General features: G+C 46.0%; 1 protein-coding gene and 1 pseudogene across 12 annotated transcripts in view, besides 4 other annotated features; one reads left to right on the forward strand and one right to left on the reverse strand.

The window, feature by feature from the left end:
- RPL10P5 (ribosomal protein L10 pseudogene 5) lies at positions 1,215 to 1,982 on the reverse strand (annotated as a pseudogene).
- Positions 7,466 to 8,396: an enhancer, noted in NCBI's record as "H3K27ac hESC enhancer chr2:109334881-109335811 (GRCh37/hg19 assembly coordinates)". NCBI's record gives its function as "activates a minimal SCP1, AML or CMV promoter by ChIP-STARR-seq in naive H9 embryonic stem cells {active_cell/tissue: H9 hESC(naive)}" and the evidence as "EXISTENCE:reporter gene assay evidence [ECO:0000049][PMID:30033119]".
- Positions 8,397 to 9,326: an enhancer, noted in NCBI's record as "H3K27ac hESC enhancer chr2:109335812-109336741 (GRCh37/hg19 assembly coordinates)". NCBI's record gives its function as "activates a minimal SCP1, AML or CMV promoter by ChIP-STARR-seq in naive H9 embryonic stem cells {active_cell/tissue: H9 hESC(naive)}" and the evidence as "EXISTENCE:reporter gene assay evidence [ECO:0000049][PMID:30033119]".
- Positions 8,420 to 8,609: an enhancer, noted in NCBI's record as "active region_16351". NCBI's record gives its function as "activates an Ori minimal core promoter by ATAC-STARR-seq in GM12878 lymphoblastoid cells {active_cell/tissue: GM12878}" and the evidence as "EXISTENCE:reporter gene assay evidence [ECO:0000049][PMID:35858748]".
- Positions 8,523 to 13,002, forward strand: part of RANBP2 (RAN binding protein 2) — a 1,122,820-nt gene continuing 1,118,340 nt past the window's right edge. For all 12 annotated transcript variants that reach the window (XM_047445367.1, XM_005264002.4, NM_001415871.1 and 9 more), the window contains exon 1: positions 8,523 to 8,719. In XM_047445367.1, the coding sequence (XP_047301323.1) occupies positions 8,648 to 8,719 (72 nt within the window). In that variant the 5' untranslated portion in view covers positions 8,523 to 8,647. The remainder of the gene's footprint in view (positions 8,720 to 13,002) is intronic.
- Positions 8,690 to 8,749: an enhancer, noted in NCBI's record as "active region_16352". NCBI's record gives its function as "activates an Ori minimal core promoter by ATAC-STARR-seq in GM12878 lymphoblastoid cells {active_cell/tissue: GM12878}" and the evidence as "EXISTENCE:reporter gene assay evidence [ECO:0000049][PMID:35858748]".

A 13,002-nucleotide genomic window follows, 5' to 3' on the forward strand; every position in this document is an offset into this window, starting at 1 on the left:
AATGCAATCCCTATTAAATACCAATGACATTCTTCAAAGAAATAGAAAAAATAATCCTAAAATTTATATGAAGCCACAAAAGACCCAGAATAGCCAAAGCTATCATGAGCAAAAAGAACAAAACTGGAGGAATCACATTACCTGACTTCAAATTATACTACAGAGCTATAGTAATTGAACAGCATGGTACTGGCATAAAAACAGATGCATAGACCACTAGAACAGAACAGAAAACCCAGAAACAAATCCACACAGTAGAGTGGACCCGTTATAACAATGGTGTCAAGAATATACATTGGGGAAAGGACGGTCTCTTCAATAAATGGTGCTGGGAAAGCTGAATATCCATACGCAAAAGAAAGAAACTAGACTTCTCTCTAACCATATACAAAAATCAAATCAAAATGGATTAAACACTTAAAATTAAGACCTCAAACTATGAAATTACTACAAGAAAATATTGGGAGAACTCTTCAGGACATTCGTCTGGGCAAAGATTTCCTGAGTAATACCTCAAAAGCACAGGCAAGCAAAGCAAAAATGGACAAATGGGATCACATTAAGTTAAAAAGCTCCTGCACCCCAAGGGAAAAAAATCAACAAAGTGAAGGGACAGCCCACAGAAGGGGAGAAATTATCTGCAAACTATCTATCTGACAAGGGATTAATAACCAAAACATAGGGCAGGTGCAGTAGCTCATGCCTGTAATCCCAGCACTTTGGGAGGCTGAGGTGGGTGGATCACCTGAGGTCAGGAGTTTGAGACCAGCCTGGCCACCATGGTGAAACTCCGTCTCTACTAAAAATACAAAAATTAGCTGGGCATGGTGGTGCGTGCCTGCTGTCACCCAAGCTGCAGTGCAGTGGCGTGATCTAAGCTCACTGCAACCTCTTCCTCCCGGGTTCATGCGATTTTCCTGCCTCACCCTCCTGAGTAGCTGAGATTACAGGTGAACGCCACCATGCCCGACTAATTTTTGTATTTTCAGTAGAGACAGGGTTTCACCATGTTGGTCAGACTGGTCTTGAACTCCTGACCTCAGGTGATCCGCCTGCCTCAGCCTCCCAAAATGCTGGGATTACAGGCATGAGCCACCGGGCCTGGCCTATTCATGAATGTTTTAAATGCCGCCTAGAATGGTGAATCTTTTCCAGATTTACTTTGATCAGATCCATCAGAGGAATCCCTATCTATGGCAGCTGTAACATTACTAAATGCATTTAAAAAAAAAATTTTAAGGTGGACAGGAAGGAGGATTTATTGGTGAGTATTAAGAGGGGGCACCACAGTGGAAGCCCTCATGAGTGCAGGGCCTGCCACTTGCCCAGAGGACCACGACTAGGGATGTACTTGACCCCACAGCCATCTGGGATGAGCTGCTTCTCAGCCACCATGTCTTCAAATTCATCCGCATTGAACTTGATGATGCCCCCACTTCTTTGAGATGTGGATCTTCTGTCCGCCAGGGAACTGGAACTTGGCCCTATGCAGGGCTTCAATCGCCTGCTCCTTGTTCTGCAGCTTGGTGCGGATGGACATGATAACTTGGCGAATGTGAACCCTGGAAACAGTGCCCGGGGGCTTTCCAAAGGCACTTCGCATACGCGGAGCCTGTCAGCCCCAGCACAGGACAACATCTTGTTGATGAAGATGACATGGAAGGGGTGGAGCTGCACTCGGATATGAAAGCCGTCTTTGCCACAACTTTTTACCATGTACTTATTGGCACAAATTCAAGCAGCCTCCAGGGCTTCAGAGGAGAGCCGCCCATATTCACCTGTCACCATGTGGCCACAGAGTGGAAACTCATCCACTTTTGCCTTCTTCTGCCCCAGGTCAAAGATGAGAATGATGGTATCAGGGACACCTCGGCAGAACTGAGGCTTTGGGTACGGCTTGTTCTTACAATACCGGTAACAACGGACGGGGCGGCGGCCCATGGCGATACCAGGATCTTCAGCGGCGCGCTTAAGAGAAAGAGCAATGCATTTCTTAAAACTTAAACCGGAGGTCAGGAGTTTGAGACCAGCCTGCCCAACACGGTGAAACCCCATCTCCACTAAAAAAAATACAAAACTTAGCTGGGCGTGGTGGCGAGCGCCTGTAATCCCAGCTACTCGGGAGGCTGAGGCAGGAGAATCGCTTGAACCTGGGAGGTGGAGGTTGCAGTGAGCCAAAATTGCGCCACTGCACTCCAGCTGGTCGACAAGAGCGAAACTCCATCTCAAAAAAAAAAAAAAAAAAAAAACTTAAAAGTCAAGATTGCGGCCGGGCGCGGTGGCTCACGCCTGTAATCCCAGCACTTTGGGAGGCCGAGGCGGGTGGATCATGAGGTCAGGAGATCGAGACCATCCTGGCTAACAAGGTGAAACCCCGTCTCTACTAAAAATACAAAAAATTAGCCGGGCGCGGTGGCGGGCGCCTGTAGTCCCAGCTACTGGGGAGGCTGAGGCAGGAGAATGGCGTGAACCCGGGAAGCGGAGCTTGCAGTGAGCAGAGATTGCGCCACTGCAGTCCGCAGTCCGGCCTGGGCGACAGAGCGAGACTCCGTCTCAAAAAAAAAAAAAAAAGAAAAAAAAAAAAAAGTCAAGATTGCTCCATGATCCATGGGCTGCAGAATGGACATTGTGTTAGCTGGCAGGAAAACATTAATCTACTTGTACATCTCCATCAGAGCTCTTGAGTGACTAGGTGCATTGTCAATGAGCAGCAGAATTTGAAAGGAATCATTTTTCTGGACAAATGGCCTAGCTTTTGGCTTATCTTGGTTTTTGATATGCCTTCCTCACTAAGCTTAATCATTTCTAGCTTTGATTTAAAGTGAGAGACATGCAACTCTTCCTTTCATGTGAACACTTAGAAGCCCTTGTAGGATTATTAAGGTGCCTAATTTCAGTATTGTTGTCTCTAGGTGAACAGGGAACTCCGAGAAGAGGGAGAGAGACTGGGAATGGTGGGTCAGTGAAGCAGTCAGATAGAACAGACACATTCATCAATTAAGTTTGCTGTCTTGTATGAGCATGGCTTGCGGTACCCCAAAACAATTACAATAAGTAACATCAAAGATCACTGATCACAGATCAATATAACAGATATTATAATAATGAAAAAATTTGAAATATTGTGAGAATTACCAAAATGTGATACAGAGACATGAAGTGAGTACATGCTGTTGGAAAACTGGTGCTGAGGCTGGCGTGGTGGCTCATGCCTGTTATCCCAGCACTTTGGGAGGCTGAGGCGGGCAGATCATTTAAGGTCAGGAGTTCGAGACCAGCCTGGCCAACATGGTGAAACCCCATTTCTACTAAAAATAAAAAAAAATTTAGCTGGGCGTGGTGGCACACACCTGTAATCCCAGCTACTAGGGAGGCTAAGGCAGGAGAATCATTTGAACCTGGGAGACGGAGTGTTCCCCAACCAAACTGAGGGTCGGGCTGCTATTTCTCATGGCCCAATAACAAGATGCAGATGAACTCGGGAGGAAGAGAGTTTTTATTTCTGCAACCAGTTACAGCAAGAAGGCCTGGAAATTATCGCCAGACCAACTCAAAATTACAAAGTTTTCCAGAGCTTATCTACCTTCTAAGTTATATGTCTACGTGTAAGTGTGCATTCATCTAAAGACGTAAGTGATTAACTTCTTTTAATATATAACTAAGGTCTGAGTCCTGAAGACCTCCCTCTGGAGCCTCAGTAAATTTACTTAATCTAATTGGTCTAGATGTTGGGGTGATTTTTTTTTTTTTGAGACGGAGTCTCACTCTGTCCCCCAGGCTGGGGTTCAATGGCGCAATCTCAGCTCACTGCAAGCTCCCCCTCGGTGCCGGGGTGATTACCCTTATCTTGCCTCCCGCTAAGTCACAGAGGTTTGGGGAGTTCTTTCAGACCCCCAATAAACTTGTCTGTGGAGACCTGGGGAGTTTCTTCAGACCCGCAATAAAACTGGTTTAATCCTAAATGGGTCCTGTTGAGAACTCCTTCGTTATGGGCTGGGTGCGGTGGCTCATGCCTGTAATCCAAACACTTTGGGAAGCTAAGGTGGGTGGATCACGAGGTCAAGAGATCGAGACCAGCCTGGCCAACATGGTGAAAGCCCATCTCTACTAAAAATACAAAAATTAGCCGGGCGTGGTCATGCATGCCTGTAATCCCAGCTACTCAGGAGGCTGAGGCAGGAGAATCACTTGAACCTGGGAGGCAGAGGTTGCAGCGAGCCAAGATCCTGCTGCTACACTCTAGCCTGGGTGACAGAGGAAGACTCCATCTCAAAAAAAAAAAAAAATTCCTTCATTATTGTGTCATGCTTTAAGGCCCAGGACAGGCCTAGGCAAAAGTTTTGATGGCCTTTTGTTACATCCCAGCCTTTGTATAAGGGCACTGGCTTTTAGTATTTAACTTCATTCAGTAATTACTGAAACAGTTGTTATGAAAGTCTGCATTAGTGAGACCTGGCCTGCCACAGGAGGTTGCAGTGAGCTGAGATCTTGCCACTGTACTCCAGCCTGGGTGGCAGTGTGAGACTCTGTCTCAAAAAAGAAAAATGATGCAGAAAGATTTGTTTGACACAGGGTGGGCATAAACTTTCAATTTGTAAAAAACATAGTATCTGTGAAGTACAATAAAATGTAGTGCGATAAAATGAGGTATGCTTGGACAGCAAAACATCATGTTGTACCTAGTAAATGTATACAATTTTTATTTGTGAATTATACCTCAATAAAGCTGGACAAATGAACTGTATTTGCAACATGGTAGGGAATATATGACATTGGACACTAATGCAAATGGAATTTTCAGTGCCTTGGTGAAAATGTTATACCACTGAACAAAAAAAAAATGTAGTGTAAAATGAAGTAAAATGTGAAAATCCCTAATAAATGCAGAAATATGAACTGCTTATCCAAAAGAGAAAAGTCTTTTGAGTTCCTCAAGAAGATTCTCTCTTTGGATGCTGGGCGCGGTGGATGCCGGGCACCTGTATCCGAGCACTTTGGGAGGCCGAGGCAGATGGATCACTGGAGGCCAGGAGTTCAAGACCAGCCTGTCCAACACGGTGAAACCCCGTCTCTACTAAAAATACAACAATAACCCGGGTGTGATGGCATGTACCTGTAATCCCAGCTACTCAGGAGGCTGAGGCACAAGAATTGCTTGAACCTGGGAGGCAGAGGTTGCAGTGAGCCGAGATTGTGCCACTGCAGTCCAACCTGGACCACAGAGTGAAACTCCGTCTCAAAAAAAAAAAAAAAAGAAAGAAGGAAAAAGAAGGTTCTCTCTTTGGGCACTCCTTTTCGATATATTCAACATAAATGGATTAATGATACCATTTTTACTAGGTGAGTATGTTTGGGCAAGTTGCTTCAGTGCTCATTCTCTTGGTTTCCTTTTTTTTTTTTTTTTTTTGGAGACAGGGTCTTTCTCTGTCACCTAAGCTGGAGTGCAGTGGAGTGAACATAGCTCACTGCAGCCTCCAACACCTAGCCTCAAGAGATCCTCCTGCTTCAGTCTCCCAAATAGCTGGGACTACTGGCAGGCACCACCATGCCTGGCTAGTTTTTAATTTCTTTTTTTTTGTAAGCACAGGGTGTTGCTATGTTGCCCAGGCAGGTCTTGAACTACTGGGCTCAAGTGATCCTCCCACCTCAGCCTCCCAAAGTTTTGGATTACAGGCATGAGCCATGGTGCCTGGCTGTCTTTTGCTTTCCTTATCTGTAAAAACTGAGGATAATAACAGTACCCTTACAAAGTTGGTGGAAGAATGATATTAATACAAATGAAGTGCTAACAGAAAGAGCTTTGGAACACAGCAAGTACTTGTTAGCTATGGCTATTGTTATCAACACACTTTTCAAGGCAAACTTGTGGTTTCACCTATCACCTGAGATATATGACTTTTAAGTCCATCAGATCTTCTCTTTTGGTTTTTATTTTTAAATTAATTAAATATTATTATTATTATTATTTTGAGACAGAGTCTGCTCTGTTGCCCAGGCTAGAGTGCACTGGCACGATCTCAGCTCACTGCAACCTCCACCTCCCAGGTTCAAGCAATTCAGGTGCCTCAGCCATCCAAAGAAGCTGGGATTACAGGCATGCACCACCATACCCAGTTAATTTTTGCATTTTTAGTAGAGATAGGGTTTCAACACGTTGGCCAGGCTGGCCTTGAACTCCTGGCCTCAAGCAATCAGCCCATCTGGGCCTCCCAGTGTGCTGGGATTACAGGCGTGAGCCATCGTGCCTGGCCCTCTTTTCGTTTTAGAGATAGGAATCTCATTCTCTTCCACAGGCTGGAGTGCAAAGGCATGAACATAACTCATTGCAGTCTCCAATCCTGGGCTAAAGGGATGTTTCCCCCTCTGCCTTTGGAGTAGCTGGGCCTCAGAACTGTGCCGCAACTACTGACTTCCATCAAGATCTCTGTCCTACCATTTCATCTTCCTACTAGGCTATCCCCACATGGATATATAAATGGTACCTCAAGTGAAAGAAATCAACTACCTAAAATAGGATTTTCCACTCCAAACTAGATTTTCTTTACATGTCATTTCTGTTAATGTGGGTCACACACACTGGTAAGCTCAGAATCATCTTTTTCTTTTCTTTTATTCACATCCAATATTGTTGAAATAAAACAAAATGCTGTTTTTCCTTTTTTAGAAAGGCAATACTTGTTCATTATATCAAAATTTAGAAAATATGGAAAAACAAAAAGGATAAAAAATTATCCACAACCAAAATAGCCCAAATTTCCAGTTAAAAATGTCAACGCATTTGATATTTGTCCACATAATTCAGACTGTAATGTTTACACAAATGTGAGCTTTTAAAATCTAAAAGGTTCTCACTATTAAAAATGTTTTGTTAAATTTTGTTTTAAAAGTAAGATTTTAATATCCAAATTCCCAAAATAGACATTTTTGAAGATTTGGAAAATACAGACGGCTCAAAATCTTTACATTATTACTGTTAAATTTTGGTATGTTCTGTTATTCTGCTAGTGAAATATATATAGATTTGGGGGGGCTATTCCTTTTCCTTTTTTTTTTTTTTTTTGAGACAAGGGTCTCACTCTGGTGCCCAGGATGGAATGCAGTGGCGCTATCACAGTTCATTGTAACCTGGAACTCCTGGACTCGAGGGATCCTCCCGCCTCGACCTCCCAAAGTGCTGGGGCTACCAGCTTAAGCCACTGTGCCAGGCGAATGGCTATTCCTATATACACAGTTGACCCTTGAATAACATGGGTTTGAACTGCCTGGGCCCGCTTATAAGCCGACAGAAAATACAGTATTGGAGGGGCCTGCATATAGAGAGGTCTGACTTTTCCTCTAAGTGTTCCACCCGCAGGACTGACTGCGGGATTTGAGAATGCGCGGACTTCTTCTTCTTCTTTTTTTTTTTAGGAAGTCTTACTCTCGCCCAGGCTTGAGTGCAGTGGCGCGATCTCAGCTCACTGTAACCCTCGCCTCTCAGTTTCAAGCGATTCTCGTGCCTCAGCCTCCCGAGTAGCTGGGATTATAGGGGCCCACCTCCACGCCCAGGTAATTTTTTGTATTTTTAGTAGAGATGGGCTTTCGCCATGTTGGCCAGGCTGGTTTCGAACTCCTGACCTCAGGTGATCCGCCCGCCTCGGCCTCCCAAAGTGCTGGGATTACAGGCGTGAACCACAGCGCCCGGCGGAATGCGTGGATTTTGGCATAAGACGGTGGTTCTGGAACCAATCCCCCGCCGAGATGACTGTTTAAAAAATTGTAATTGTCCAAAACTTAATATTTGTGGTCTTTTTCATTATGCAGTTCTAAATCTCCCTTTTTTTTTTTTTTTAAATTCAGACGGAGTCTCCCTCTGTCGCCCAGACGGCGCAATCTCGGCTCACTGCAACCTCCGCCTCCCGGGTTCAAGCGATTCTCCTGCCTTAGCCTCCGGAGTAGCTGGGACTACAGGCGTCCGACACCACGGCCGGCTAATTTTTTGTATTTTTGGTAGAGATGGGGTTTCCCTGTGCTAGCCAGGATGGTCTCGATTTCCTGACCTCATGATCCGCCCGCCGTGGCCTCTCAAAGTGCTGGGATTACAGGCGTGAGCCACCACGCCTGGCCCTCATTTAATAAGATATGAATTTAAAAATGTATGCTTTAGTATTCACACATGTCCGATGCAACGTATTTAACCAGTCATCTCCAGAAACTTTGTTCCAATTTACACGTTCACCAAATTGGCCTGAGTGCTTTTTTTCTTCCAATGCATTGCGCACTTATAATTTAGAACAAGTGACCAAAACGCTTAAGAGCCCATCACGCAAATTGTTATCTGCTGGAAATCTACGCCCTAGGCTGTGGACACTGGCGGCCGAAATCTGATCCCGGCTTGCCAAGACACCCTCAGAGCACGCGGCGCTGCCAAGAGCCTGGCCGAGTGCAGCTCGAGCGCCGACGTCGCCAACGTGGCGCACACTGCTGACGCAGTACGCAAGTTCGTCACAGTGGTCCTCCGCCGGCTGCGCCGCAAGTTCGTCACAGTGGTCCTCCGCCGGCTACGGCGCTGCGTCACTGGTTTGCAGGCGCTTTCCTCTTGGAAGTGGCGACTGCTGCGGGCCTGAGCGCTGGTCTCACGCGCCTCGGGAGCCAGGTTGGCGGCGCGATGAGGCGCAGCAAGGCTGACGTGGAGCGGTACATCGCCTCGGTGCAGGGCTCCACCCCGTCGCCTCGACAGGTGAGTGGGTCTCGAAGAGACCGACGGCCTCGACCTGGCCGGGCGGCGGCCTCGCGCTGCTCAGGCGTCATGGCTCCCGACGGGCGCTGCTCCCTGGCGCGCTCTGTTGAGGCGCCGGCCGGCTGGCGCAGTCCTGTGGGCGGCGTGGCGCTTGCAAGCGCATGAAGAGTCCTGGGGGGACAGCGGTGGGCGGGAGACCTTTGGCGCCGGCGCTTCCTCTTTCTCCCGGCTTGTTCCCGACGCTTGTTCCCGACGGTGCTCGCTCCTGGGGCCGCCCTGGCCCGGGCTTTCTGGCCGATCGCGCACCCCGTAGTACCCGCGCGGCCTAGTTCTCGGGGGCTTGGGCACCCGGGTGCTGTATCGGCGGGTTTCTTCCCATCTCCTGGACATATACTTTATATGCTGCGGCGGAGGTCGTACCTCCTTGGCCTGGAGGAACCCAGTGGGGACTGACGCAGCTCCGGGTGAGCTTTGGCGGCTGCGTCGAGTGACAAGGTAGGCATCTCAGCGCGGACATTTGCAATGGCCCGACGGCGCAAATGACACTGAAAGTCCCCTTGTTTTGAGTATGAGGTGTTTGTCGCTGTCCCTTTGTAAGGGTCCAGCTCCACTCCGCTCCTCATACTCACCTCCCTCGCCCCCCTCCCCGCCCGGAACACTTTGGTAGCTGCCTTTGCTTAAAAAAAAAAAATTCTAAAGTTCTTACAAATCGTTAGTATGGCTTGCAATTTTTAACCTTTTCCACAAATGTTTTAAGGGTATTTTTCCTCTTTACATGTAAATAATGTGATCTATTTTGGATTCAATAAGACTTTAGTAATTGGATCTAAAGAGTGACGGAAGAAGCTATTAAAGGTGGATGTGCGCAGAATCTTGAGTCAGTTTGCTTTGGCTTGAATAATCACAGCACTGTCGTTTATAAGCTGGGTATTTGGGGCCAGTTACACTTTTCATCCATAGATGGAGTTGTAACATTAATAGAATTTGATAGGATGATCCATTTTAAACATTTAGGGTATTGCTTGACACATAGCACTAAATGTTAGCTACAAGTCACTTTTTATTGTTGATGTTAAAAGGATATTGGCGGGGCGCAGTGGCTCACGCCTGTAATCCCACCACTTTGGGAGGCCGAGGAGGGCGGATTGCCTGAGGTCAGGAGTTCGTGACCAGCCTGGCTAACATGTTGATACCTCGTCTCTACTAAAAATACAAAAAAAGTTAGCCGGGCGTGGTGGCGCATGCCTGTAGTCCCAGCTACCCGGGAGGCTGAGGCAGGAGAGTCGCTTGAACCCGGGAGGCGGAGGTTCCAGTGAGCCGAGATCGCGCTACTGCACTCCAGCCTGGGCGACAGAGGGAGACTCCAAAAAAACAAAAACAAAAACAAAAAAAACCCGGAAACTCACGGATGACCATGATTATAATAGTAGCATAATTGTGTCTCTTATCGTAACTAAGCATAGGTTATCTTATTTTGCGCTTCCAGCAGCCCTGTGGATATTGAGACCTGTAGAGATTTAAGATACTTGTTCAGGGTCAAATAGATAGTGCAGCAGAATTTTGGCAGTGGGTCTGATTTAGTTTCTCTTGGGAACAGTGGAGTAAGTTACAGTCTATTCCTCCAGAGGAGGAGGATAGATATCTACTTGTACATTGTAATTTCAAACTGCTAGCATAGTATAAATATGAATGTGATGATAGAGTCTAAAACAGACCTTAATTGAGGGTTCCTGTAACTCCTGAAATTAAAGACTTTAATTTTTGTGTTATTTTATTTTTTTTGAGGTGGGGTCTCACTCTGTCACCCAGCTGGATGCAGTGGCGCTATCTCGACTCACTGCACCTTCCGCCTCCCCAGCTCAAGCGATGCTCCCACCTCAGTCTCCCGAGTAGTTGGGACCACAGGTGTACCCACCACACCCGCTGTTTTGTTTTGTTTTGTATTTTTGGTAGAGACTGGGTTTCACCATGTTGCCCAGGCTGTTCTTGAACTCCTGGGCTCAAGTGATTTCCCCGCCTCCACTTCCCAAAGTGTTGGGATTATAGGCGTGAGCCACTGCACCGGCCATTATTTTATTTTTGAGACAAGGTCTCTTTCTGTCTCCCAGGCTGGAGTGCTGTGGCGGGATCGTGGCTCACTGCAGCGTTGACGTCCTGGGCTCAATCCATCCTCCCACCTTAGCCTCCTGGGTAGCTGAGACTACAGGCATGTGCCACCATGCCCGGCTTTTTTCTTTAATGTAGAGACGGGGTCTTATCATGTTACCCAGGCTGGTCTCCAACTCCTGGGCTCAAGTGATCCTCCCGCCTTGGCCCCAAGTGCTGAGATTACAGGTGTGAGCCACTCTGCTCAGCCTGATTTTTTTTTTTTTAAACAAGCTTAAAAAAAAAAAAAAGCAAGCTTAGAGCCTTTCTGAGATTCTTAGTGGGGACCTTGGCTTCCAAAAGATTAAAAACCACTGGTCTAGACAGAAGTTAGAATGTTCTTTCAACTACATAACTTCTCCATTAAATAAAGTGGAGTGGTGGCAGAATTTTGAGGATTGGTTATTATGACACCTCTCTTACACTTAGAGTCTTTTTTTTCCCCCAAATTTAAAGTCATTTACATTAGAACCTGGGGATTTCAGCGGAATATGGATTAACTAGTGAGTAACTTTGGAACATGTGAAGCTATTCTGTAAAGTTAGGTTTGAGTGAAATGACAAAACAGGGTGCTTTGGATAGAAGGTAAAGAATGGAGGGAGAAGAGGCAGTGGCTGTGAAGAATATGAAGAGGTTAGTATTCTCCCCCAGTTTGGCAGAGGCTGGCCATCTGTGAACTGCCCATGCTTTCTAGAATGTCGGAGTTTTGGAGTGTGATGATGCGTCTGTATATCATATCTTTCTAGTCTTTCATTGTGCTTTCATTTGTTAGTCTTCTCTTGTTTTGCCATTTTTCTACTCCCTCACATGTGCTTTTGCCCTTAAAAATATTCTTCGTCTGTAATCTGAGCACTTTGGGAGGCCGAGAGACCAGCCTGACCAATATGGTGAAAATCCGTCTCTATTAAAAATACAAAAATGAGCCGGGCGTGGTGGCAGCGCCTGTAGTCCCACCTACTCGGTAGGCTGAGACAGGAGAATTGCTTGAACCCTGGAGGCAGAGGTTGTGGTGAGCAGAGATTGCACCACTGCACTCCAGCCTGTGTGACAGAGCGAGACTCTGTCTCCAAAAAAGAAAAAAAGAAAAAAAAATATAATTCTTTCTCTAGTTTTTCTTTTTCCAGATGGCTTCTGTTTAGTTTTTCTATGTTCTGTCAAGTTGATTTCTTATTCTGCAGCTGATTCCTACTTCTCAAAGTCTACTTGACAGCTCTTATTTTTATTTATTTGTTTTTTAGAATAGGGTCTTGCTGTGTTGCCCAGGCTGCCATCAAATTTTTGGGCGTAAATGATCCACCTACCTCTGTTTCCTGAGTACTTAGGACTACAGGCAGGCACCTTTGACAGCTGTTAGTTGTTTTTTCTGCCCTTTACAGCTATACTTCATACTTCTGAGTAACACACATATATACTTTTGTTATTTTTAATTTCCTTTCTCCCATTTTAGACATTTTCTTTTCTTTTTTTTTTTTTTGAGACGGAGACTCGCTCTATCGTCCAGGCTGGAGTGCAGTGGCGCGATCTCGGCTCACTGCAAACTCTGCCTCCCGGGTTCACACCATTCTCCTGCCCCAGCCTGTAGCTGGGACTACAGGCACCCGCCACCACACCCGGCTAATTTTTTAGTATTTTTAGTAGAGACGGGGTTTCACCGTGTTAGCCAGGATAGTCTCGATCTCCTGACCTCATGATCCGCCCGCCTCAGCCTCCCAAAGTGCCGGGGTTACAGGCGTGAGCCACCGCGCCGGGCCCCATTTTAGACATTCTGTACTGGTTATTATGCTCCTCCAAAACTGTCCTCAGACACTTTGGTTTGCCCCTCATTCTTTCAGTACTGTTATTGCAGTTTTTGTTTAAATGAATATTTAACATTTATATAAATATAAGGTAAATATTTTTGCATTTGAATTGCCCTTGTTGTGCGGTTTTGTTTTTCCTGGACTGAATAATTGCTTTATTTTTTGGTTTGCTTGTATGTTGTGTTACTACTTGCTTACTTAAACTCAGCAATTTACACCCTCAAATGTGGTCAAACTGGTCACATAATCCCATCAATTGCAGCTTAAAACATTGATTGATTGATTGATTGATTGATTGTCTGTCTACCTGGAATACCCTTACTAACTGACTTCTCCAAC

Source organism: Homo sapiens, chromosome 2 (assembly GCF_000001405.40).
Source record: "Homo sapiens chromosome 2, GRCh38.p14 Primary Assembly".
Classification (NCBI taxonomy): domain Eukaryota; kingdom Metazoa; phylum Chordata; class Mammalia; order Primates; family Hominidae; genus Homo; species Homo sapiens.